Below are 26,570 nucleotides of genomic sequence, written 5' to 3'. Positions count from 1 at the left end.
TGATTCTTGTGCCGCAGCTTCCAGAGTAGCTGGGACTACAGGCATGAGCCACCATGTCTGGCTAATTTTTGTATTTTTAGTAGAGATGGGGTTTCATCATGTTGGCCAGGCTGGTCTCGAATTCCTGACCTCAGGTGATCCACCTACCTCGGCCTCCCAAAGTGCTGGGATTACAGGCATGAGCCACTGCGCCTGGCCAACCTTTTTATTTTTTATTTTTATTTGTTATCATTATTATTATTATTTTGAGATGGAATCTCACTCTGTCACCTAGGCTGGAGTGCAGTGGCGTGATCTCGACTCACTGCAACCTCTGCCTTCTGGGTTCAAGCGATTCTTCTGCCTCAGCCTCCCGAGTAGCTGGGATTACAGGCATCCACCACCATACCCAGCTAATTTTTGTGTTTTTAGTAGAGACAGGGTTTCGCCATGTTGGCCAGGCTGGTCTCGAACTCCTGACCTCTGGTGATCTGCTCACATCTGCCTCCCAAAGTGCTGGGATTACAGGTGTGAGCTACCATGCCCAGCCTATTTATTTATTTTGAGACAGAGTCTTGCTCAGTGGTGCAATCTCGGCTCACTGCAGCCACTACCTCCTGGGTTCAAGTGATCCTCCCACCTCAGCCTTCCAAGCATGCACCACTACGTCCGGCTAATTTTTGTATTTTTTACAGAGGTGGGTTTTCATCATGTTGGCCAGGCTGGTCTCGAACTCCTGACCTCAAGTGATCCTTCTGCCTCGGCCTCCCAAAGTGCTGGGATTACAGGTGTGAGCCACCAAGCCCGACCAGGGACCCTTTTAACCTATGCATCAGATCATGTTCTCCTCTGCTCAGAGCTCTCTGGTGCTCTCTGTATCTTTCAGAGTAAAAGCCCAAGGTTCTCACTGGCCTATGAGCCCCTGCATGAATGGCCCGTGGCCTCCACCCCAATCTCTTGCTCCCTGGACCCTGCCAGTCCCAGGAGTCCACTACACCACTCTGCCCCCCGACCCCAGCCGGTACCTCACTGTCACGGCTCTCTCGTCTTTAATTCTTTGCTCAAAAGTCCAATGTCAGAAACAATTTTTTTTTGTTCAAATATCTCAACGAGGCTCAGTCTGACCCCGCTATTTACATGTGAAATCCCCTACCCCACACTCCCCATGGCCCTTACCTAGCTCTCTTTTCCCCTTGGTACCTGTGGACTCCCACCAGACTAGATAATTCACTTAATGTAATTATCGTCTCCCTGCTCCTCCCTAGGATGGAAATTTCACAAGGGCAGGATTTGGATCTTTTTTTAAAAAACAGATGTCTCCCAGCACCTAGAGCAGGGCCTGCCACATAAGAGATGCTCAGGAAATAGTTGCTGCGTGATAGAAATAAGGATAGAGGTTTGTGAATTGCTTTCTAGCTGCTCACACGGACAGGAAGCAGCAGGGCTTCACCAGCCTTGTTCTTACCATCAGGTTTCTCAGCCCCCCAAACTGAGGCAGACCCGGCTCCCGCTCTCTGAGATCCCCACAGATTCCAACTCCCACACCAGGCCCAAATCAAAAAAGGCATCTTGGCTGGGCACGGTGGCTCATGCCTGTAATCCCAGCACTTTGGGAAGCTGAGGCAGGTGGATTACCTGAGGTCAGGAGTTTGAGACCACCCTGACCAACATGGCGAAACCCCATCTCTACTAAAAATACAAAAACTAGCTGGGTGTGGTGCAGGGCATGGTGCTGGGCACCTGTAATCCTAGCTACTCGGGAGGCTGAGGCAGAAGAATTGCTTGAACTCGGGAGACAGGGGTTACAGTGAGCTGAGATTGCGCCACTGCACTCCAGCCAGGGCAACAGAGCGAGACTCTGTCTCAAAAAAAAAAGGGCATCTCATAGGTACTGCTTCCTGACGGGTGGTGGGAAGGGAAGACTGAGCCCTGTAGTGGAAGGCAGATGGCAGTGCTGGGGGAGGCACCCAGGTCTCTGTCTGCAGCACCAGCCTCGGTTCATTGCTAGTCCCTTGTTTAGAAAAAGGCCTCCCAAGAGGCACAGGCAGGCCCCGGCCTCCAGCACAGCAAGAAGGACCCTGAGAAGTCATTGTCAAGTTCCTTCATTTTATTTTATTTATTTTGAGACAGGGTCTCACTCTGTTGCCCAGGCTGGAGTGCAGTGATGTGATCTCAGTTCACTGCAACCTCTGCCTCCCAGGCTCAAGTGATCCTCCCACCTCAGCCTCCTGAGTAGCTGGTACTACAGGCTCATGCCACCATGCCCAGCTAATTTTTGTTTTCGTTTTTGGGTTTGTTTGTTTGTTTGTTTGTTTGGTAGAGATGGGGTCTTGCTGTGTTGCCCAGGTTGGTCTCGAACTCCTGGGCTCAAGTAATCCTCCTGCCTTGGCTTCCCAAAATGCTGGGATTATAGGTGTGAGCCACGGGGCACCTGCTTAAGTTCCTTCATTTTACACATGAGGAAACAGGTCCAGAGAGGGCACAAGGCTGTCTGAGACCTCGAAGCTTGGTGAACGTGAGCTGCAGGTGAACTCAGTTCTCCAGAGGACCCCATCCCCAGACTTTCTTCTAGATGGGGCCCCCTTTCCAGCTCCTGGGACCCTGGTCTGGGGCCTCTGGGAATCAGTCCTGCTCCTGCAGACCAGCAACAGGTACAAATGCTCCCTGCCGTCTAAGGGTGTCCTGTGCCCCTGTTATTTCCACTCCAGGCCCCGAGATGTTTTCTGGATCAGCGAGGAATAAGATGAGAAAAGAACATGGAGGCTGCAGCAGAACCTGGGTCTGCCTGTTTCTGCCGCCTCCTTGTACTTGGCCAGTTCCCCTCTTCTTGCCAGGCCTCAGTTTCCCCAGTTGCAAAACAAACTGGAGAATCTCTGGAGTCCTCTGGCTGTGACTGACTGCTGACTTGCATGGCAAAAGCTCTCCTGCACCCTTGGTGCTATCCTTGGTGCTATCCTTGGTGCTGGTTCTGCCAAGGGCAGCACTGCCTTGTCTGTTGCATTTTGAGTCGCTAGCTAGTCTGGGTTGGGCTTCATTTCCCACCCCACTGCACACCAGCCAGCCCTCCAGTCCCTTGCTCCGTGAGCTCGGCTGGCCAGTTCCCGGCACCAGCCTCCACATGAGGCCCTCCCGTCTTTAGGGGTAACTAGGACAAGAGCGAGGGACTTATCCTTTCTGAGGTCACTGGTGACCACTTTCCATACTTTGTTTCAGTCATCATGGCAGCCCTGGCAAAGTGAGGGAATTATCACCATTTTACAGACAAGGACAATGAGAACCCAGAGAAACCAAGGGCCTTGTCCAAGCTCACACAGTAGCAGGACAGAGCGAGGATTTGAACCCTGGTCTTTCCGGGGCTTGAACCGCCTGGGAAAATCTAGGAGCTATGGTTGCAACTGCCATTTGCAAACAAACAAAGCCCTGGGATGCTCTCAGACTCTTCAGAGCTCAGCTGTTTATAATTTATACTGCCTTCCCATTTCCAGAAGTTCCAGACCGCTTCCCAGAAAGATGTGTAAGTACATTAAAGGAATGGCAGAGACTCAGAAGCTCAAGGCATTGGAGGTGGCAAAGGGCCAGCAGGACTGGGGGTTGGGGAGGGGAGTGAGCGTGGGAAGGTGCACCGAGGACCGGGCAGTGAAGAGCCCCATAGAGCCCAGGGGAAGTCACTTAGTTCCTGGGAGGCCCAGCTAGTTGCAGACTCCAACTTTTTTCATTTTTATTTTTTGACACAGAGTATCTCTCTGTTGTCCAGGCTGGAGTGCAATGGCGCAATCTCGGCTCACTGCAACTTCCGCCTCCCAGGTTCAGCGAATCTCCTGCCTCAACCTCCTGAGTAGCTGGGAATACAGGTGTGTGCCACCATGCCTGGCTAATTTTTGTATTTTTAGTAGAGACAGGGTTTCACCAGGTAGGCCAGGCTGGTCTCGAACTCTTAATTTGCCAACCTCAGCCTCCCGAAGTCCTGGGATTACAGGTGTGAGCCACCGTGCCCTGCCCAGACTCCATCTTTAATGAGCGCTGAAATGTGGTATGCACAATGTGCTGAAAGCAAAAGTCTGTTCTTCTCTCCCCACGCCCTGGGGAGTCTCCATGATGTGGCTTCCCCTGTCCCTGCCCAGCATTCAGTACATCTGGAATCATCCTTTGGCAAGCCCTTGCTTTCCTGTCCACGGGTCCTTGACTGCTGGGACCTTCCTCCGCATCTTGAGCAGTGTGAAATAATGGACAGGAAGAGTGCCGGGCTTAGTATCAGAGATACGGGGGAATTGGAGTCCATCTACCTGGGGAGGTGACCAGAGCCCGGGACGTGCTGCTGAGTGGCAGCTTCCTCATGTCGGAAGCTGAGCTGAGGTTGTGGGATCAGCTGGCATCTACTCACCCTTCTTTTGCCAACAGTACCCCGATGCCCTGGGGAACTGCCCCTTCTTCACCCCTAGTCCTTATGGTTTAGATGGGGCTCACCCCAACCCTGGGCTCCAGGATGGGCTTGAGGCCCTGCCCTTGCCAATCTCACCTGGTCACAGTGATTGATGTCAGGAATAGGCACATGACCCAAGCCAGACCAAGGAAGGCCAGGCCTGGGACTTTTGTTGGAGCTACTGGGAAAGTGGGAGGGGCTGGGGATGTGCCTGCCCTGGGTTGCTGTGAAGCTGGTGTTTCTGGTGGCCATCCTACTCCCATGACCGGGCTCTGCCTGAGAATGTAGCCAGCCTGGAGGACAGCAAATAGAGTAAGAGTTTGACTCCTGATGACATCGTTTGGGCCTCGTGTCTGAAGCTGGTGCACTCTAGACTTGGTAGTAACTTAACTTAGATCATCTAATAAGGGAGAGAGACTCCTCTAACACAGATATCTGCTGCCTCCTGGTGAAGGTTTCATGAGCAGCTGCATGGAGAATACTTCACTTACGGCCGGGTGCAGTGGCTGATGCATGTAATCCCAGCATTTTGGGAGGCTGAGGCGGGAGGATCATGAGGTCAGGAGTTCAAGAACAGCCTGGCCAACATGGTGAAACCCTGTCTCTACTAAAAATACAAAAATTAGCTGGGCGTGGTGTTGCATATCTGTAATCCCAGCTACTCAGGAGGCTGAGGCAGGATAATTGCTTGAACCCAGGAGGCGGAGTTTGCAGTGAGGCAAGATCGCGCCACTGTACTCCAGCCTGGGTGACAAGAGCAAAATCCTGTCTCAAAAAAAAAAAAAAAAGGCTGGGTGCGGTGGCTTACGCCTGTAATCCCAGCACTTTGGGAGGCCGAGGCAGGTGGATCACTTGAGGCCAGGAGTTGGAGACTAGCCTGGCCAATGTGGAGAAACCCCGTCTCTGCTAAAAATACAAAAATTTTGCTGGGTGTGGTGGTGCCTGCCTATAGTCCCAGCTACTTAGGAGGCTGAGCCAGGAGAATCGCTTGAACCCAGGAGGCAGAGATTGCAGTGAGCTGAGATCCCACCACTGCACTTTAGCCTGGGTACAGAGCAAGACTCCATCGAAAGAAAGAAAGAAAGAAAGAAAGAAAGAAAGAAAGAGAGAGAGAGAGAGAAAGGAGGGAGGGAGGGAGGGAAACACAAGCCTGTTGTTACGTGAATAAAAATTAATCAGATATGTATTGAGTGCCTTTGTTAAGTTTAACAGATGTTTATGTGACTTAACTGTGGGCTGTGCACTGTTCTAAGCCCTTTACATAAATTACTTAAATCCTTCTATTATTATCCCCATTGGCCAGGCACGGTGGCTCACGCCTATAATCCCAGCACTTTGGGAGGCCAAGGCTGGCGGATCACCTAAGGTTGAGACCAGCCAGGCCAACATGGTGAAACCCCGTCTCTACTAAAAATGCAAAAATTAGCTGGGCATGGTGGCACACACCTGTAATCCCAGCTACTTGGGAGGCTGAGGCAGGAGAATCACTTGAACCTGGGAGGCGGAGGTTGCAGTGAGCCGAGATCGCACCACCGCACTCCAGCCTGGGAGACAGAGCAAGACTCTGTCTCAAAACAAAAAACAAAAAACAGGCCGCGTGCAATGGCTCACGCCTGTAATCCCAGCACTTTGGGAGGCTGAGGCTGGCAGATCACTTGAGGTCAGGAGTTCGAGATCAGCCTGGCCAACATGGTGAAACCCCATCTCTACTAAAAATACAAAAAATTAGGTGGGTGTGGTGGCGTACACCTGTAATTCCAGCTACTTGGGAGGCTGAGGCAGGTGAATCACTGGAACCCTGGAGACAGAGGTTGCAGTGAGCCAAGATTGTGCCACTGTACTCTAGCCTGGGTGACAGAGTGGGACTCCGTCTCAAAAAAAAAAAAAAAAAGGGACAGGGCTTCAGGGCATTCTGGCTTCTCCCAAAACAGTGGTGTGACTTTCTCTTCCCTATAATTCAGTTTATTCATTGGTGAAATGATGAAGTTGGTTGGGGGGAGCCCACCAGGAACCCAGGGCAGGTCCTATGGGAATGAGTGAAAAGTTTCTTTCCTCAGGAAAGTTTTGGGGTTCCTGGGTGGCAAGCTGCCTGCTGGACTTTAATTAATTAATTCATTAATTGAGCATCTATTACGTGAAGGCAGTGTTTGAAGCACTGGGGATCCTTCAAAGAACCAGTCCTGCCATGTAGGAGCTCATTGGTAGCTGTGGTATTTGGGAGGCCTCCAACCCTCCACCCACTGGGGCTGCTGGCTCTGGACTAATGGACCAGGCCTTTCCAAGCAGAGTGTGGAGCAGGACTGAGGCCTAGAAGAGAGAGGTTGTGTTCTCCCTGCAGCTCTGCCCCTCCCGTGGAGTGACCTTGCCCCTCTGGGCATTAGTTTCCTCACCCTCTTTTATGAACTGAAAGTTTGTGTTCCCCCCCCAAACTCACACACTGAAGTGCCAACCCTTGGTAAGATGGTATTTGGAGGTGGGGCCTTCAGGAGGTAATTAGGCTTAGATAAGGTTGTGAGGGTGGGACCCTACAATGGGATGAGTGTCTTTATAAGAAGGCAGAGAGACCGTGTGAGAATACGGCAAGAGTGCCACCATCTTCCAGCCAGGAAGAGGCCTTGCCAGGAGCCAAACCTACCAGCACCTTGCTCTTGGATTTCTCAGCCCTCAGAACTGCGAGAAATAAAAGGCTGTCATTAAGCCACTCAGTTTCTGGTATTGCATTATAGCAGCCTGAGCTGACTGAGACACCGTCTAAGGCGAGGTCAGATTGGATGGTCCCACCAGCCTGGGAGAAGTCTCCCACAGCCATTCCTAGTTAAACATTACCCACCCTACCTCCCTCCCTCCCTGCCACTCCCTCTCCCAGCTGCCTCCTCAGGGAGCCATAAACGCTGCCTTCTTTGGTCTTCTCCCAGGGCTGTGGTGTTCTGGGAAGAGCTACACCTGCTGTCTCACCTCTGCCAGAAGCCAGGGTCTGGAGAAGAAAGACTGGGGGTCTGGGGCAGGGGCTGGGATCTGGAGTGGGACACTCAGGCCTAGCCCCTCCACACACACACACACACACACAAGCACACACGGGTGTTTCTTCGTAGTCACATCATGCACAAGGTGCCTGCAGATCCTCCCAGGGGAGCTCATGGGCTGGCTTAATGAGCCCTTCAGGTGCCTGCCTCAGGCAAGACGCCCCAGCCTTCCTGGTTTCCAGGAAACAATAATTCAGAGAAACAGGGATGGCCTCACTGCGTGGGGCATCCCACTTCCGCCTCTGCTCCCAGGCCCCTCAGAAGCTAGGAGGGCAAGGCCCAGCTCTTATGCCCAATCTCACCCACCCAGGCATTTTAAATTAGGAGCCTGCATTAATAATCTTAGAATCCAGAATATGACACCACAAATTTCAGGAGGGGGAATCCTTGCCACATAGTACTTTACAATATCCCAAGAGCTTTCTTCTCATCTCATTCTTTCCCATCTTCAAAACAACTGTCAAATAGGTATCATTTCTTTGTGATCACCAGCATATCTTTGAAGACACTGAGGCTCCAGGTGATAAACTGGGTGAGTGGAGTGCCAGGATGGAGAGTCAAGTCTTTTGTCTCTGAAACCCAGACTTGTTTTATGCCTGGTTCTAGGGATAGCAGGGGACTGCACTCTCCACACCTCTGCCCATAACAGGCATCACTAATCGATCATGGTGTGGCAGACATTGCTAATCAACTGCAGTACTCTTTTTTACTAAGCTCAGAGGTGTCCATGAACTCTTTAAAACAACATTCCAGCCACCATCACCTATCAGAAGATCATATCTGTATTTGCCATTCTTGTGATACCACATCATCAGCCATGAGCCCTCAGGTCTCAGGTACAACTCCAAGATGCTCTAGTCACCAGACCATAGGACTCTACATACTGCATGCATGCTGTTCTTGGACAGGAATTACTGGCCCCTCTGGCCCCCAAACAGATGCCCCATCCAAGTGTCCCTCTTAGAGATACAACAAGCATGCAGGTATGCCCGGGGCTTCAGGGTTTGCTAGGTCTTTATTTTTTAATTTTTAATTAATTAATTTTTTTGAAACAAGGTCTTGCTCTATTGCCCAGGCTGGAGTGCAGTGGCAAGATTATAGCTCACTGCAGCCTTGAACTCCTGGGCTCAAGTGATCCTCTCATCTCAGCCTCCTGAGTAACTGGGAATACAGGTGTGTGCCACCATGCCCAGTTATTTTTTTTATTTTTAATATAGATAAGGTCTTGCTATGTTGCCCAGGCTGGTCTCAAACTCCTGAGCTCAAGTAATCCTCCTGCCTTGGCCTCCCAGAGTACTTGGATTACAGGCATGAACCACTGCATCTGGCCTAACAAAATTGTTTTTATCCCCACTTTACAGATTTGGAAACAGAAACACAGATGAAATTACGAACCCAAGTCACATAGCTTGGAAGCTGGGCTCCTAACCACTGGACATCAATCTTTCCACTGCTTCATGGTCTGTTGTATGAAAACAGTAATGTATCCATCTGTTCTATCCAACAGCCATTGCTTAATTTTGCAGACATGCTTCCATAGTGGTCTCAGAAGGTTTGGGGGTGGTTGTATTATCTGGCTTAGTTCCTGCAATGAGCCTGGGAGTGGGTAGTTGTACCATCCTCCAGATGAGAAAACTAGGGCTCAGAGAAGGAGAGTCACTTTCTGAAAGTTGGACAGCTCCAATGTGTGCTGTGATCCAGAGTTCCCCCAATTCCAGAGCTCAAGGGCTCTCTCTACCCCACATGAGCATCGGTCCCCACTGGCTTCTTCTCTCATCTCAGTCCCTGGCCGCCTGTCCTCCCTCCCCTAGAACACCCTCCTCATACCTGGCCTTTGGTCTTCCCTCCTCTCCACCCTCCACCATCCTCTTTCCAGAGAAGGGGCCCAACCGGAAGGCCAGTTCATGTTAGGAAATTCTAGCCACGTGAGCAAGCCTGAGCCAGGGATTCTGAGCAGCTGGTGGCTTTAGGAGAAACTGAAACTTGGCCCTCTGGGGGCGGAGTGGCCACTGGGGATTTAAAGAGCTGCCACTTCCTTAGGCCTCCAGAGGGCACTGGGAAGTCACAGCTGCTGAGGGACCACTCTGCTCCCCCGCCTAAGCCATGCACCTCTGTGGGGGCAATGGGCTGCTGACCCAGACAGTGAGTACAGGGGATTGGGGATCGGGGATGAGAAGGGGAGCTGGGATCCCGTCCTCAGTGCCCAGGCAGTGAGGGCTGCAGTCGGGAGCTCCTAGTCCCAGCTCTATACTCTGAGCAGTGTGACAGAGGGCTCTGCATGCCCCTCTCTGGGTCTCACTTTCCTCCCCCGAAGTCGGGATTGGATTGGAATGAGTTGTTTCCAGCTCTCACATTGCAGATCCAGCCTTCGGTTTAGAACTTGGCCTCTGTGTACTTGCTCTCTCCTAACGTACCTGGTCCCCCCTCACTACACTCACAGCAGCCTTTCCTTCCTTCTCCAAATAACCCAGGCCGGCTCATGCCTGTAATCCCAGCCCCTTGGGAGTCTGAGGCCGGCAGATAACATGAGGTTAGGAGTTCAAGATCAGCCTGGCCAACATGGCGAAACCCCGTCTCTACTAGAAATACAAAAATTAGCCAGGTGTGGCAGGGCACGTCTGTAGTCTCAGCTACTCGAGAGGCTGAGGCAGGAAAGTTGCTTGAACCCGGGAGATGGAGGTTGCAGTAAGCTGAGCTCATGTCACTGCACTCCAGCCTGGGTGACAGAGAGAGACTCTGTCTCAATAAAATAAAATAGGCCGGGCTCAGTGGCTCACACCTGTAATCCCAGCACTTTGGGAGGCTGAGGCGGGCAGATCACCTGAGGTCAGGAGATCGAGACCATCCTGGCCAACATGGTGAAACCCCGTCTCTATTAAAAATAGAAAAATTAGCTGGGCGTGGTGGAGGCACATGCCTGTAATCCCAGCTTCTCAGGAGGCTGAGGCAGGAGAATCACTTGAACCTGGGAGGCGGAGGTCGCAGTGAGCCAAGATCACGCCACTGCACTCCAGCCTGGGCGACAGAGACTCTGTCTCAATAAAATAAAATAAAATAAAATAAAGTAAAATAATAAATAAATTCCCTGGGCCATGGTTTCCCTTGGAGGCTCTGCTTATCTCACAGGAGCCCCCTTCACTCACCGTGGGTCCTGTCTCAGCCTTTAGTTTCTTGGTGCCCCAGTGTCTACAGTGAGCCCGCTGTGGACATGGCCCAAGGGAGCATATGGAGCAGGAGCCTAGGAGCATTCAGAATCTGCAGCCAGGGCGGCCAGGGCCTTGCCTGAGGTCCTTACCCTCAAAACACATACCCCAGAGAGACTTGGGGGCGGGGGCTGGGCTGTGAGCTCTCCAACAGTCCCTCTTGCTCTGACTTTGCAGAGCTCTGGACATTTGGGTAAAATATTTTATCTAAGTTTCATTGATCCCAGGGTACAAGGTGGTCACAACCTTTGAGTCCACTCTTCCACCGGAATAAACCCTTCATTCATTCATCCTTCGCTACCACCCCACTACAATGTGAGCAATTTCAGGGCAGGGATTTGTGTGTATTTTGTTTGCTATCATGTCCCTCTAGCTTACTGCCTGGAACATAGTAGGTGCTTATACATGTTTGTTGAGTAAGTGAATATCTGCTTTGGGCTTGAGCTGGGCATGAGCACAGAGAACCACATCTGCCCTCATGGAGCTCACAGTTAGGAAAGTTCACACCTTGGTGTGGAAATCATGGCAATGAGAAGAATGGAAGCTGAGCTTTATGGCACGCCGGCTCTGGGCTGCCTGCCGCATGGGCTTTAACCCTCTGCTGTGGTGCTTCCATTGCAGGGATGGGGCGATTGGGTTCAAGAATATGGGGCTCGGCTGGGCACGGTGGCTCACACCTGTAATCCCAGCACTTTGGGAGGCCGAGGCTGGTGAATCACCTGAGGTCAGGAGTTCAAGACCAGTTTGAGATGAGCCTGGCCAACATGAGGAAACCCCATCTCTACTAAAAATACAAAAATTGGCCAGGAATGGTGGCAGGTGCCTGTAGTCCCAGCTACTTGGGAGGCCGAGGCAGGAGAATTGCTTGAACCCGGGAGTCAGAGTTTGCAGTGAGCCAAGATAGAGCCGCTGCACTACTCCAGCCTGGGCAACAGAGTGAGACTCTGTCTCAAAAAAAAAGGAAAAAAGAATGTGGGGTTTGAAGTTGGCTCTGTCTGAGTTTGAATCTCAGGCTTCCCATCTTCCCTGCTTGCCCTCCCACCCTCCACATGAGCGGTGAGCAGGACACAGGGGTGAGGCTGGCGTTCCAACAAGGTGTGCAGTGCCTGCTATAGGGGGTGTGGGTGCCAAGGGAGCTTCTGGGAGATAAAAGACCCTTGGGAACTTGACTCAAGGGGAAAGACTTGGCTTTACAAATGGCGGGCCAGGACGGAGGGCACAAGGCCTGGCTGGGCCCCCTGAGTCCTCTGCCTCATGCCCCACAGGACCCCAAGGAGCAACAAAGGCAGCTGAAGAAGCAGAAGAACCGGGCAGCCGCCCAGCGAAGCCGGCAGAAGCACACAGACAAGGCAGACGCCCTGCACCAGGTGTGGACAACCCCTAACCCCTTTCCTTGTCTCTGGCTCCACTTACTGGCCCAGCCACCTCTTCTCCATCCCACCTTTGAGCAGACCTCCCCCAAACTCCTGTATTTTTCTAGGTCACCTGAGTTTGGGATGAGAAAAGGATCCTGTGGCTGACATTTGGAAAGTTCTGGGTGTTGAGTACAAACCATGTGCCAGGTACACACCAGGCTCCAGGGACACAAAGGGTCATCCTCAGCCCAGCCGTGTCCTAAGGTGTCCGCAGTCTAGGGGAAGGAAGACAGGAAGTGGAGGCAAATAGGGAGACCCCAACACAATGGCCAGCTGAGACACTGGTTAAAATGCAGATTCCAGGCTGGGCACTGTGGCTCACACCTGTAATCCTAGCACTTTGGGAGGCTGAGGCTGGAGGATTGTTTGAGCCCAGGAGTTCAAGACCAGCCTGGGCAATATAGTGAGACTCTGTCTCTACAAAAATTAAAAAATAGTTAGCTGGGCGTGATGGTGCACACCTGTAGTCCCAGCTACTCAGGAAACTGAGGCAGGAGGATCGCTTGAGCCCAGAAGTTCAAGGCTGCAGTGAGCCATGATTGTACCACTGCATCCAACCTGGGCAACAGATTGAGACCCTGTCTATAGAAAAAAAAAAGTGGATTATTCTTCCTCTGCCAGGTCCCACCTCATGAGGCCAGGTGGGCCCAGGGACCTGCACGGTGATTTGTGATTAATCACCTGGGGGTCAGAATTCAGGAGGTGACCAAGACCATACTGTGAGAACTCTGGTTCAGGGTTAAAATGGGCAGGGTTTCCAGTCCCAGTTGCAAGTTGCTTCCTTTACTGAGCTTCATGCTCATCTGAAAATACCATAAACAGTGGCTTAAACAATAGACATTTATTTCTCACAGTTTTGGAGGCTGGGAAGTCCAAGATCAAGGTGCCAGCCAATTCAGTTCCAGATGAGGGTGCTCTTCCTGACTTGTAAGTGGCTGCCTTCTCGCTGTGTGCTCATGGCCTCTCAGTGCATGTGAGAGGACAGAGTGATCTCTTTCCCTTCCTCTCCTTTTTGGGATTTTTGTTGTTGTTGTCATTTTTGAGACAGAGTCTCACTCTGTTGCCCAGACTGGAGTGCAGTGGCGCCACTTGGCTCACTACAACCTCTACCTCCTGGGTTCAAGTGATCCTCCTGCCTCAGCCTCCTGAGTAGCTAGGATTACAGGCATGCGCCACTACGCCCACCTAATTTTTGTATTTTTAGCAGAGACGGGGTTTCACCATGTTGGCCAGGCTGGTCTCAAACTCCTGGCTTTAAGTGATCTGCCCGCCTCAGCCTCCCAAAGTGCTGGGATTACAGGCGTGAACCACTGCACCTGGCCCCCTCCTTTTGTTTTAATTTTTTATTCATTTATTATTTATTTATTCTTTCTTTTTTATTTCTTCATATTCTTTATTTTTTAATAGTGATGGGGGTCTTGCTATGTTGCCCAGGCTTGTCTTGAACTCCTGGGCTCAAGCAATCCTCCCACCTCCACGTCCCAAAGTGCTGGGATTACAGGCGTGAGCCACCATGCCTGGCCTCTTCCTTTTTTTTTTTTGAGAGGGTCTTACTCTGTTGTCCAGGCTAGAGTGCAGTCCACGATCCTGGCTCACTGCAACCTCAGCTTCCCAGGCTCAAGCGATCCTCTCCACCTCAGTCTCCCGAGTAGCTGAGACTACAGGCATGCACCATCACACTTGGCTAACTTTTGTATTTTTTGTAGAGACAGAGTTTCTCCATGTAGCCCAGGCTGGTCTTGAACTCCTGGACTCAATTGATCCACCTACCTCGGCCTCCCAAAGTGCTGGGATTACAGGCTTGAGCCACCGCTCCCAGCCTCCTTCCCTCTTCTTATAAGGCCACCAATCCTATCAGATTAGAACCCGATCCTCTATCCTAGGACCTCATTTAATCTAAATTACCTTCTAAGAGCCTTATCTCTAAATGCAATCACATCGGGGGTTATGGCTTCAACACATAAATTTTGGAGGGAACACAATAGAGTCCATAGCACATAGGTAGTGGCATTGAGTGGTCTAAAGAGGAGATGAGCCAGGCGCGGTGGCTCACGCCTATAATCCCAGCACTTTGGGAGGCTGAGGTGGGTGGATTACTTGTTGGCCAGGAGTTCGAGACCAGCCTGGCCAACGTGGTAAAACCCCATCTCTACTAAAAATACAAAAATTAGCCAAGCATTGTAGCTAATTAGGCAGCCCCAGTAGCTGGGATTACAGGGATGTGGTAGCTAATTAGCCAATCCCAGTAGCTGAGGCAGGAGAATTGCTTGAACCTGGGAGGTGGAGGTTGCAGTGAGCTGAGGTCGTGCCACTGCACTTCAGCCTGGGAGACAGAGAGAGACTCTGTCTCAAAAACAACAACAACAACAACAAAAAAAGGCGATGAAGCCTGAGCTTAAGGACAAATGGGCGTTTTCCCAGAGGATGAAGGTAAGAAAACGCATTGCGGACAAATGACACAGTGCTGGCACAGGCGTGGGGAGCAGCACCCTGTAGACCAGGTGAGAGTGAGGACTGGTACTCAGAATGGTGCCTAGGAGACCCACGCATCCGTTTATTCCTTCCTTCTGGAAATGCTTATTGAGCGTCTCCCGTGTGCCAGGCACATTTCTAAGCACTGGATATAGAGCTGTAGACACAGTAGACAAACGCCCACCCCAGCCCCACCCACAGGGCTCATATTCTCCTGGGGAAGCCAGACCCACAAACAAAAAGTCCCTAGAGTGGTCAGGATGTCAGATGGTGTTAAATCCTGTTGGGAAAACTAAAGCAGAGAAGAGGGAAGGGATGAAATTGAAATTGTTACTCCTTGAGCCTCCTGAAGGTGGCAAACGAATGAATAAATGAATGAGTGAGTGACTCCGTTCCTGGAGGTGAGTTGAAGCCTTTGGAGAATTTAGGTGAAGGGTGGCCTAATGATACATTTTAGAAATGTCCATCATTCCGGCCAGGCACATTGGCTCACGCCTGCAATCCCAGCACTTTGGGAGGCCAAGGCTGGCGGATCACGAGGTCAGGAGTTCGAGACCAGCCTGACCAACATGGTGAAACCCCATCTCTAGTAAAAATACAAAAATTAGCTGGGCATGGTTGTGCATACCTGTAGTCCCAGCTACTCGGGAGGCTGAGGCAGGAGAATCGTTTGAACCTGGGAGGCAGAGGTTGCAGTGAGCCGAGATTATGCCATTGCACTCCAGCCTGGGCGACAGAGCAAAACTCTGTCTCAAAAAAAAAAAAAAAAAAAAATTCATCATTCCACATGTAGAAACCAGCGTGGCAATGGGGCTGGTGGCTTTCAGGCTGAGTCCAGGGCCGGGCGCGGTGGCTCACGCCTGTAATCCCAGAACTTTGGGAGGCCGAGGCAGGCAGATCACGAGGTCAGGAGATCGAGACCATCCTGGCTAACATGGTGAAACCCCGTCTCTACTAAAAATACAAAATATTAGCCAGGCGTGGTGGCGGGCGCCTGTGGTCCCAGCTACTCAGGAGGCTGAGGCAGGAGAATGGTGTGAACCTGGGAGCTTGAGCTTGCAGTGAGCCGAGATCGAGCCACTGCACTCCAGCCTGGGCGACAGAGCCAGACTCCATCTCAAAAAAAAGAACTTTGAGTCCAGGGCCAAAACCACATTTTTATGCAAAACACCTTTGCAACTTCTTCTTTCAAAGTGTCCAGAAAAGGGGGTGGGGGACTGAAGGAAGTCGTTCAATTTATTCAGCCCTGTGAGATGTGGATATAAAATTCTTTCTGCATTTTTACCATTACTGTCATCATAAATGGTTATTTAGAACTGCACATTGATTGTGTCTCAGGGGTTCTCAGAACCGGCGTTCAGCAGAACAGAACTTAATAAATGCTGATTCAGGGATGCAGAATCGAACACACTCATGCTGTCAACCTGTAAAACAATCCCCTGAATCCTCCCACAGTGCTCGTAGGGGCGAGTTCTGGGCCCTCAAAAGGGCAGTGGCAATAAGCAATCTAGGACAGAATGACATCAAGGTTGCCACGGGAAGGCCCTGTTGGGATTTGCACAGAGAAGGGCGGCGGAAGGGTGTCCAGGCAGAGGAAACAGGAAATGTGGCCGGGAAGCAGAGTTCATGTGAGGGTCAGGAAGGGAGGGGAGCAAGAAAGAAGGCGAGAGAGAGGAGACCGGAGGTCTGAGCTGCAGCCACTACACAGGCCTGGAATTCTACCACAGGGAATTTGGTGGGTGCCTCTAAAGGGCTTTAACCTGCAATTAATGACATGGTTGCTGAATGGCTCCTGTGGGCAAGAGAATAGGTGGTTTGGGGGACACACGGGTTGGAGGCCCGTGCATATCCCAGGTGAGAAATGGCACCGGCTCAGGGCACTAGTGGTGGGATGACAGCAGGCGGATCTGAGCCCCCTTCAGAGGGTGGGACAGGGGAGACTTGGTAGGTGGTTATGAAGGGCTGGCCAGAGAGTGGCCAAGAGACCCCACTTGGCTATTCCAATGGTGGTGGCATCTTTCTCCTGAAGTTGAGGACCCTGGAAGGGGCTAAGGCTCATGCGGGGCCCCTGACACTGGCTGAGGTTCCCCTCCCCGCCCATCTGCTTCTCTGCAGCAGCACGAGTCTCTGGAAAAAGACAACCTCGCCCTGCGGAAGGAGATCCAGTCCCTGCAGGCCGAGCTGGCGTGGTGGAGCCGGACCCTGCACGTGCATGAGCGCCTGTGCCCCATGGATTGTGCCTCCTGCTCAGCTCCAGGGCTCCTGGGCTGCTGGGACCAGGCTGAGGGGCTCCTGGGCCCTGGCCCACAGGGACAACATGGCTGCCGGGAGCAGCTGGAGCTGTTCCAGACCCCGGGTTCCTGTTACCCAGCTCAGCCGCTCTCTCCAGGTCCACAGCCTCATGATTCTCCCAGCCTCCTCCAGTGCCCCCTGCCCTCACTGTCCCTTGGCCCCGCTGTGGTTGCTGAACCTCCTGTCCAGCTGTCCCCCAGCCCTCTCCTGTTTGCCTCGCACACTGGTTCCAGCCTGCAGGGGTCTTCCTCTAAGCTCAGTGCCCTCCAGCCCAGCCTCACGGCCCAAACTGCCCCTCCACAGCCCCTCGAGCTGGAGCATCCCACCAGAGGGAAGCTGGGGTCCTCTCCCGACAACCCTTCCTCTGCCCTGGGGCTTGCACGTCTGCAGAGCAGGGAGCACAAACCTGCTCTCTCAGCAGCCACTTGGCAAGGGCTGGTTGTGGATCCCAGCCCTCACCCTCTCCTGGCCTTTCCTCTGCTCTCCTCTGCTCAAGTCCACTTCTAACCTGGTCTTCGGAGCTGGGTTGGCCCCTTCTTTGGGCTCAGGAAGCAGCCTTAGCACACGGGCCTCTCCTCCCTCACTACTGGGTGCTGCCCTGCGTGGCTGACCAGCTGGCCCAGGATTTCACAGTCGAAAAGGAAGCCACCACTGATGCCTCCCACTGTGACAGGCCCTGTCACCACCAATATCTTATTTCAACCTCACAGTTGACCTGAGAAATCGAGATTATCACTCCACTTTTTCAGACAAGGAAACTGAGGCTCAGGGAAGCCAAGTGACAAGTCCAAGGTCACGAAGACTTTCTTGGAGCCCGAAACACCACCCTCTGCTCCTCCTTCTCCTGTCCTGGCCCAGGCATCCTAGGGGCTGAAATCCTGGAAACCGTGGGCTGGTGTGAGAAGGTTTGCATGCTCAGAGCAGAGAAGGGCTCTCCCCACTGCTTCGTGATTCCAGGGCCAGAGCCATGCAGTCCCAGAAACCCCAACCTAGCTGGGGCAGGTCCAGAGTCCAAGCCCTGGTGGGTAGAGGCCAAGCAGAAGCCCTGAAGTGGACTCTTGCTTCCCCTAGTAGTGTTTTCAGTGCCAAGAAGCTGAAACTGTGAGCTGGAGTTGGGGAGAGGTCTGGAAGAGGACCATCTGGGATTTCTACAGCCTGGGTACCCATAGCCACACCAAGGCTTCTGGGAGATTCTGCAGGGTCAGCTTTCCAGGCTGTTCCCAAATAGCTCCCTGCCTCCCCACTGCCCCTAAAGCCACAGCAGAAGAGCCATTCATCTCATAAACAAAAAGGAAGAGGAAAGAATGAGGAAGGACCCTGTGCAAGGTTATTTGCAGGCAGGGATGGGCTTGTACCTGACAGCACCCACCCCTGTGTGGCCCCCAGGCCCTCATCACCCTCAGACCCCTCCTAAGCAGTTCCCTCATTGCTCTTTGGACTAGGCTGACAGCAGGAAGAGCAGGGCCCATGACCGGGTGGAAGTTCAGTTTTGGTGTCTGCTTCAAGAGGGGGTTTTACACTCTGATTCCAGGACAAGCACTCTGAGGCGGGTGGGGGAGAGAAACCCTGGCTCTTCACCCAGGTTTCACACACATGTAAATGAAACACTATGTTAGTATCTAACACACTCCTGGATACAGAACACAAGTCTTGGCACATATGTGATGGAAATAAAGTGTTTTGCAATCTTTTCTGCTTTGCCTAGTTACTTAAACCTCTCTTTGTAACCTACAGAGTCTTTGAAAAAAGAGAGAATAACAGAGATGGGCAACCCCTCATGAACCAGCTAATTAATCTCCCTCCAATACTACAGATGAGGAAACTGAGGCTCAGAGATGAGACGGACTTGCGCAGGTGTATTAGTCAGTGTTCTCTAGAGAAATAGAACCAATAGAGTGTGTGTGTGTGTGTGTGTGTGTGTGTGTGAAGACAGAGAGATTTTTTTTTTAATGTTGTTTTTTTTTTGAGATGGAGTTTCACTCTTGTCACCCAGGCTGGAGTGCAATGGTGCAATCTCGGCTCACTGCAACCTTCGCCTCCCGGGCTCAAGTGATTCTCCTGCCTCAGCCTCCCAAGTAGTGGGGATTACAGGTGCCCACCACCACACCCAGCTAATTTTTTCCTTTTTTTGAGACAGAATCTCGCTCTGTCGCCCAGGCTGGAGTGCAGTGGTGCAATCTCGGCTCACTGCAAGCTCCGCCTCCCGGGTTCACGCCATTCTCCTGACTCAGTCTCCTGGACTACAGGCGCCTGCCACCATGCCCGGCTAATTTTTTTTTTTTTTTTTTTTTTGTATTTTTAGTAGAGACAGGGTTTCACCATGTTAGCCAGGATGGTCTCGATCTCCTGACATTGTGATCTGCCTGCCTCGGCCTCCCAAAGTGCTGGGATTACAGGCATGAGCCACCACACCCAGCCTCACGCCCAGCTAATTTTTGTATTTTTAGTAGAGATGGGGTTCCACCATGTTGGCCAGGCTGGTCTCGAACTCTTGACCTCAAGTGATCTGCCCGCCTTGTCCTCCCAAAGTGCTGGGATTACAGGCGTGAACCACCACGCCCTGCCAAGGGAGACTTATTTTAAGAAATTGGCTCATGTGATGATGGAGGTTGGCAAGTCCAAATTCTTCAGGGTGAATTGTCAGGCTGGAGCCCCAGGAAAGTGCTGCTGTTGCAGTTCAAGTCCAAAGGCCACCAGCTGCAGAACTTACTCTAGCTTGGAAAAGGTTAGTCTTTTTGTTCTATTCAGGCCTTCAGTCGATTAGATGAGGCCCACCTACATTATGGAGGGCAACCTGCTTTATTCAAAGCCCACCAACTTCAATGTTGATCTCGTCCAAAAACACATTCACAGAAACATTCAGAATAATGTTTGACCACATATCTGGGCACTGTGGCCCAGCCAAGAGGACACATACAAGTAACCATTGTGCCAGGTTCACATAGCAAAGGGAAGTCACAGGGCTGTGGATGGCAGCAGAGCCATGGTCACCAGCGATTCAGGGAAAGCAAACAGGTGGGAGGGAAGCGAAGGTGCTGTTGGTTAGAGGTGGGCTGGAGTCTGGGACAGGATTCAACATACTCTGGGCACGAGGACTCAGTGGAGGATGAGGACAGCATGGTCGTGCTGTATCTGTATACCCTAAAGTATAGTAGGCTCTGTGCTATTTTACTTGGATTAACTCAATGATGCCTCTAGTAACTCTGTGACGTATGCTTCTCAACCCCACTGTTCAGAAGAGGAAACTGTCTTTGAGCTAGAGCTGTAAGAAAGAGAGAGAAAGGGAAACTGAGGTCCAGAGGTAGTAAGTAATAAGTCCAAGGTCACATAGCTAGGAAACTATATAGACTTGGTTCAACAATCAGGAGCCCTTAGCTGCAGGCAACCCAGCCTTCAACCTTCCTGGATTCTCATTGCAGGCCCAGACTTCAGGGGCAGCACATGCTAATAGATATGACCCAAGAAGGTAAAACTCTACCCCACCCTCAAACAAATAGATGGGAGTGATTCAATTAATGCTGGTACACTCATGTGATGGACTACTGAAAAGCTGAATAAAGAATGCTTGGCCAGGCGCGGTGGCTCACGCCTATAATCCCAGCACTTTGGAAGGCCAAGGCAGGCGATCATGAGGTCAGGAGTTCAAGACCAGCCTGGCCAACATGGTGAAACCCTGTCTCTAATAAAAATACAAAAATTAGCTGGGCATTGTGGCGGGTGCCTATAATCCCAGGTACTCGGGAGGCTGAGGCAGGAGAATTGCTTGAACCCGGGAGGCAGAGGTTGCAGTGAGCCGAGATCACACCACTGCACTCCAGCCTGGGCGATGGAGCAACACTCCGTCTTGGGCGGAAAAACAAGTTACTTGGGTGGCTGAGGTGGGAGGATTGCTTGAGCCAGGGAGGTCGAGGCTGCAGTGAGACATGATCGAGCCACTGCACTCCAGTCTGGATGACAGAGTGAGATCCTGCCTCAAAAAAAAAAAAAAAATAGAGAATTCAAGGGAAGGGTCTCTCAGGAGGTGTCATTCAGGATGAGACCTGACAAGATGAGAATGACAAGAGAGAGTCAGCCATGCAAAGATCTAGGGAAAGAACATGCCACTCAGAGGCAATACCATGTGTAAAAACTCCGGGTCTGGAAAAAGCGCTAAACGTAGGCTGGGCACGGTGGCTCACACCTATAATCCCAGCACTTTGGGAGGCCGAGGCGGGCGGATCACAAGGTCAGGAGATTGAGACCATCCTGGCTAACACGGTGAAACCCTGTCTCTACTAAAAATACAAAAAATTAGCCGGGCGTGGTGGCAGGCGCCTGTAGTCCCAGCTACTCAGGAGGCTGAGGCAGGAGAATGGTGTGAACCCGGGAGGTGGAGCTTGCAGTGAGCCGAGATGGCGCCACTGCACTCCAGCCTGGGCAACAGAGCGAGACTCCGCCTCAAAAAAAAAAAGAAAAAGCACTAAACATGTTAGAGGAACAGAAAGGAGTAGGCCAGCTGGGCGCAGTGGTGCACACCTCTAATCCCGGCACTTTGGGAGGCCGAGGTGGCTTGAGCCCATGAGTTTGAGACCAGCCTGGGCAACAAAGCAAGACCTTGTCTCTACTAAAAATTCAAAGAATTAGCTGGGCGTGGTGGCATGCACCTGTAGTCCCAGCTATTCGAGAGGCTGAGATGGGAGAATTGCTTGAGCCCAGGAAGTCAAGGCTACAGTGAGCCATGATCATGCCCCTGCACACTGGGTGACAGAGCAAGACTTGTCTCAAAAAAAAAAAGAAGAAGAAGAAGAGAAAAGAAAGGAGGAGGAGAATCAGGGAAGAGAAAAGGAAAGATGAAGTCTGAGAAGAGGCCAGAAAAATTGTGTAAGCCATGAGAAGGATGTGAGATTCTTCCTGTGTGAGTGGGAGAATTTTTTTTTTTTTTTGAGATGGAGTCTCGCTCTGTTGCCCAGGCTGGAGTACAGTGGTGCGATCTCAGCTCACTGCAAGCTCTGCCTCCCGGGTTCACGCCATTCTCCTGCCTCAGCCTCCCAAGTAGCTGGGACTACAGGCGCCTGCCACCACACACAGCTAATTTTTTGTATTTTTAGTAGAGACAGGGTTTCACCGTGTTAGCCAGGATGGTCTCGATCTCCTGACCTCGTGATCTGCCCGCCTCAGCCTCCCAAAGTGCTGGGATTACAGGCGTGAGCCACCACACCCAGCCGTGAGTGGGAGAATTTTAAACAGAGATGTACACTGATTTTTTTTTTTTTGAGACGGAGTCTTGCTCTGTTGCCCAGGCTGGAGTGCAGTGCACGATATTGGCTCACTGCAATCTCTGCCTCCTGGGTTCAAGAGATTCTCCTGCCTCAGCCTCCTGAGTAGCTGGGATTACAGGTGCCTGCCACCGCGCACAGCTAATTTTTTATATTTTTGGTAGGGACAGGGTTTCACCATGTCGGCCAGGCTGGTCTCGAACTCCTGACCTCAATTGATCCAGCCACCTCAGCCTTCCAAAGTGCTGGGATTACGGGCGTGAGCCACCGTGCCCAGCCTCTGATTTTTAAATTCATTTAAAATATATTCAGCTCCTCTTTTCAAACACTATCCTAGGCATTTGGGATAAAGAAGAGAACAAAACAGACAAAAATGCTTATATTTAATAGGGAAGCTGGGTCAAGAGGGGTAAGACAAGAAAAGAGGAATTGAGAGGGTCAGGGTGGAGAAGGTACAATTTAAAATAGGGTGGTCGCCCAGGCGCGGTGGCTCATGCCTGTAATCCCAGCACTTTGGGAGGCTGAGGTGGGAGGATCACTTGAGGTCAAGAGTTCGAGACTAGCCTGGCCAACATGGCAAAACACCGTCTCTACTAAAAATACAAAAATTAGCCAGGTGTGGTGGCAGGAACCTGTGATCCCAGCTACTCAGGAGGCAGAGGCACAAGAATCACTTGAACCTGGGAGGTGGAGGTTGCAGTAAGCCGAGATCGCGCCAGTGCACTCCAGCCTGGGTGACAGAGCGAGACTCAGTCTCAATAAAATAAATAAAATAAAATAAAATAAAATAAAATAAAATAAAATAAAATAAAATAAAATATAAAATAAAATATAAAATAAAATATAAAATAAAATATAAAATAAAATAAAATAAAATAAAATAAAATAAAATAAAATAAAATAAAATGAGTGGTCAACGTCAGTTCAATAGGAAGAGAGTATTTGAAGCCAGGTGTAGTGGCTTCAAATCCAAGCACTTTGGGAGGCTGAGGTGGTCAGATCACTAGAGGCCAGGAGTTCAAGACCAGCCTGGCCAACATGGCAAAACTCAAACTCCTTCTCTACTAAGAATACACACACACAAAAAGAAAATTAGCAGCTGGGCACAGAGGCTCACGCCTGTAATCCCAGCACTTTGGGAGGCCAAGGTGGGCGGATCACCTGAGGTCAGGAGTTCCAGACCAGACTGGCCAACATGAAACCCCATCTCTACTAAAAATACAAAAAAAATTAGCTGGGCATGGTGGAACATGCCTGTAATCCCAGCTACTTGGGAGGCTGAAGCAGGAGAATTGCTTGAACCCAGGAGGCAGAGGTTGCGGTGAGCTGAGATCATGCTATTGCACTCCAGCCTGGGCAACAGAGCAAGACTCCATCTCAAAAACAAAAGAAAGAAAGAAAAGAAAAAAGAAAATTAGCAGGGCATGGTGGCGCATGCCTGTAGTCCCCACTACTTGGGAGGCTGAGGCACAAGCATCTCTGGAACCCAGAAGGTGGAGGTTGCAGTGAGCAGAGATCACGCCACTGCACTCCACCCTGGGTGACAGAGTGAGACTCCGTCTCAAAAAAAAAAAAAAAAGGCAGAGGACATTTGAGCAAGGTCTTGAAGAAGGCAGTGAATTAGCCAGGTGGAGATGAGTTCCAGGCAGAGGAAACAGCCAGTGCCGAGGCCTGGGGGCAGGTGTGAGCCTGAAACATTTGAGCCAGGGGGCTGGTGTGGCTGGAGGGAGGGAATGAAGGAGGGTCAGAGATGGTCAGTTGGTCAGGGATAAGGTCAGAGAGGTAACCAAGGGCCAGATCATACAGACCACTGCAAGGGCATTGCCTTTTTTCCATGAATCAGGGAGCCCGACATTTAAAAAAGATCAGATTGTTCAGGGGTGTGAATGGAAGCAGTGAGGTGGTAAGAAGAGGTCAGCCCATCTGACAAGGGATTAATAACCAGAATATATAAGGAGCCCAAACAACTCTCTAGGAAAAGATCTAATAATCTTTTTTGAAAAATTTTTCTTCCTATTTTCTTGAAAGAAACCTAATAATCTGATTTAAAAATGGGCAACAATTCTGGGCACAGTGGCTCACACCTGTAATCTCAGAACTTTGGGACGCTGATGCAGGCAGATCACTTGAAGTCAGGAATTTGAGACCAGTCTGGCCAACATGGCGAAATCCTGTCTCTACTAAAAATACAACAATTAGCCAGGTGTGGTGGCAGGTGCCTGTAATCCCAGCACTTTGAGAGGCATGTGTCTATAATCCCAGCTATTCGGGAGGCTGAGGCACGAGAATTGCATGAACCCAGGAGGTGGAGGTTGCAGTGAGCTCGGATCATGCCACTGCACTCCAGCCTGGGTGACAGAGCAAGACTTCATCTCAAAAAAAATAAAAATAAAAATAAATCAAAAAAAAAGGTGGGGGGAGGCAAAAGATTCCAGTAGACATTTCTCAAAAGAAGATAAACAAATGGCAAATAGACATATGAAAAGGTGCTAACATCATTAATCATCAGAGTAATGCTAATGAAAACTACAATGAGATATCATCGCACTCCAGTTCAAATGGCTTATACCCAAAAACAGTCAGTAACAAACGCTGGCGAGGATGTGGAAGAAAGGGAACCCTTGAACACTGTTGGTGGGAATGTAAATTAGTACAACCACTATGGAGAACAGTTTGGAGGTTCCCCAAAAAACTAAAAATAGAGCTACCATATGATCCAGCACTCCCACTGCTGGGTATAGATCCAAAAGAAAGGAAATGAGTATATCGAAGAAATATCTGACTCCCATGTTGCAGCACTGTTCACAATAGCCAAGATGCGGAACCAACCTGTGTCCATCAACAGAAGAATGGATAAGGAAAATGTGGTACATATACACAATGGAGTACTGTTCAGCTATAAAAAGAATGAGATTCTGTCGTTTGCAACATGGATGGAACTGAAGATCATTATGTTAGGTGAAATAAGTCAGGCACAGAAAGATAAAAATCACATGTTTTCACTTATTTGTGGGATCTAAAATTCAAAATAATTGAACTAATGGAGATAGAGAGTAGAAGGATGATTACCAAAGGCTAGGAAGAGGATTGGGGGTGGGTGGGGGGAGGTGGGGATGATTAACAGATACAAAAAAAAAGTAGAAAGAATGAATAAGACCTACTATTTGATGGCATATAATAGGGTGACTATAGTCAATAATCATGTAATTGTCACTTGGAAATAATTAAAAGAGTGTAATTGTATTGTTTGTAACACCAAGGATAAATGCTTAAGGGGTGGATACCTCATTCTCCATGATGTGATTATTGTGCCTTGCATGCTTGTATTCAAAACATCTCATGCATGCCTACTGTGTATTCACAAAACTTAAAAACTGACAGAAAAGAAGTGGTCGGATTCAGGGTGTGCTTTACAGATACAGCTGATGGGATATGCTCATGGACTGAGTGTGGTGAAAGGGAGGAAGGAAGGATGACTGAGATTTGGGACCTGAGCAATTGATGGTTGGTGGTGCCAAAAACCAAGAAAGGCTGGAAGAGGGGCAGTTTGGGGTTTGGTGGTGGGGATCAGGAGCCCTATTTTGGCCATGTTAAATTTGGGATACCTATTTGACATCCAACTGGTTTAAATAAGAGTCTGGAGTCTGGGAAATGTCAGGACTGGATAAATAAATTTGGAAGCCATCAGTAGGTTGGTGGACAATGAGAGATGGGCAAGATGACCTCTGAGGGCCTTTGCAGCCTGTGTTTTCTTGTGCACCCAGAGCTCTCAGCCTGATAGTCTTTCCCTTATCACTCCTTCATGCCCAGAATTTGCCCCCATCCTTCCTTTTTGTTTTTCTGAGATGGAGTCTCGCTGTCGCCCAGGCTGGAGTGCAGTGGCGCGATCTCGGCTCACTGCAGGCTCTGTCCCCCTGAGTTCACGCCATTCTCCTGCCTCAGCCTCCTGAGTAGCTGGGACTACAGGCGCCCGCCACCTCGCCCGGCTAATTTTTTCTATTTTTAGTAGAGACGGGGTTTCACCGTGTTAGCCAGGATGGTCTCGATTTCCTGACCTAGTGATCCACCCGCCTTGGCCTCCCAAAGTGCTGGGATTACAGGCGTGAACCACCGCGCCCGGCCCCATCCTTCCTTTTCAAATGCTCCTTTCTCCAGGAAGCCTCCTGTAATCTTCCAAGATAAAAGTGACCTGCAGGCCCAGCGCGTTGGCTCATACCTGTAATCCCAGCACTTTGAGGGGCCAAAGCAGGCGGATCATCTGAGGTTGGGAGTTCAAGACCAGCCTGACCAACATGGAGAAACCCCGTCTCTACTAAAAATACAAAATTAGCCGGGCATGGTGATGCATGCCTGTAATCCCAGCTACTCGGGAGGTTGAGGCAGGAGAATCGCTTGAACCCAGGAGGCAGAGGTTGTGGTGAGCCAAGACCATGCCATTGTACTCCAGCCTGGGCAACAAGAGCAAAAATCCGTCTCAAAAAAAAAAAAAAAAAAAGTGACCTGCTTTCCTC

The 26,570-nt window shown here is 50.6% G+C and overlaps 1 protein-coding gene across 3 annotated transcripts, besides 3 other annotated features; it reads left to right on the top strand.

Moving 5' to 3' along the window:
* Positions 7,187–8,325: a transcriptional cis regulatory region, noted in NCBI's record as "candidate enhancer chr11.3163 targeted for multiplex CRISPR interference". NCBI's record gives its function as "positively regulates BATF2 gene expression with high confidence in K562 cells {active_cell/tissue: K562}" and the evidence as "EXISTENCE:mutant phenotype evidence [ECO:0000015][PMID:30612741]".
* BATF2 (basic leucine zipper ATF-like transcription factor 2) lies at positions 9,469–18,495 on the top strand. 3 transcript variants are annotated; one of them, NM_138456.4, is made up of 3 exons: positions 9,469–9,564; positions 11,891–11,992; positions 16,628–18,495. In NM_138456.4, exons 1-3 carry the CDS (start codon positions 9,526–9,528, stop codon positions 17,309–17,311), a joined length of 825 nt encoding a protein of 274 aa, NP_612465.3. In that variant the 5' UTR covers positions 9,469–9,525; the 3' UTR covers positions 17,312–18,495. The 3 variants fall into 3 exon arrangements, with proteins under 3 accessions (NP_612465.3, NP_001287737.1, NP_001287736.1); NM_001300808.2 differs by lacking the exons at positions 9,469–9,564; positions 11,891–11,992 and adding an exon at positions 16,163–16,247; NM_001300807.2 differs by lacking the exons at positions 9,469–9,564; positions 11,891–11,992 and adding an exon at positions 16,163–16,366.
* Positions 9,570–10,070: an enhancer, noted in NCBI's record as "H3K4me1 hESC enhancer chr11:64763842-64764342 (GRCh37/hg19 assembly coordinates)". NCBI's record gives its function as "activates a minimal SCP1, AML or CMV promoter by ChIP-STARR-seq in naive and primed H9 embryonic stem cells {active_cell/tissue: H9 hESC(naive and primed)}" and the evidence as "EXISTENCE:reporter gene assay evidence [ECO:0000049][PMID:30033119]".
* Positions 16,249–16,776: an enhancer, noted in NCBI's record as "H3K4me1 hESC enhancer chr11:64757136-64757663 (GRCh37/hg19 assembly coordinates)". NCBI's record gives its function as "activates a minimal SCP1, AML or CMV promoter by ChIP-STARR-seq in primed H9 embryonic stem cells {active_cell/tissue: H9 hESC(primed)}" and the evidence as "EXISTENCE:reporter gene assay evidence [ECO:0000049][PMID:30033119]".
* Positions 18,496–26,570: the final 8,075 nt, after the last annotated feature.

Source organism: Homo sapiens, chromosome 11 (genome assembly GCF_000001405.40).
Source record: "Homo sapiens chromosome 11, GRCh38.p14 Primary Assembly".
Lineage (NCBI taxonomy): Eukaryota > Metazoa > Chordata > Mammalia > Primates > Hominidae > Homo > Homo sapiens.
Note: the sequence above shows the minus strand (reverse complement) of the source record. Positions and strands in the feature narration are given on the sequence as shown.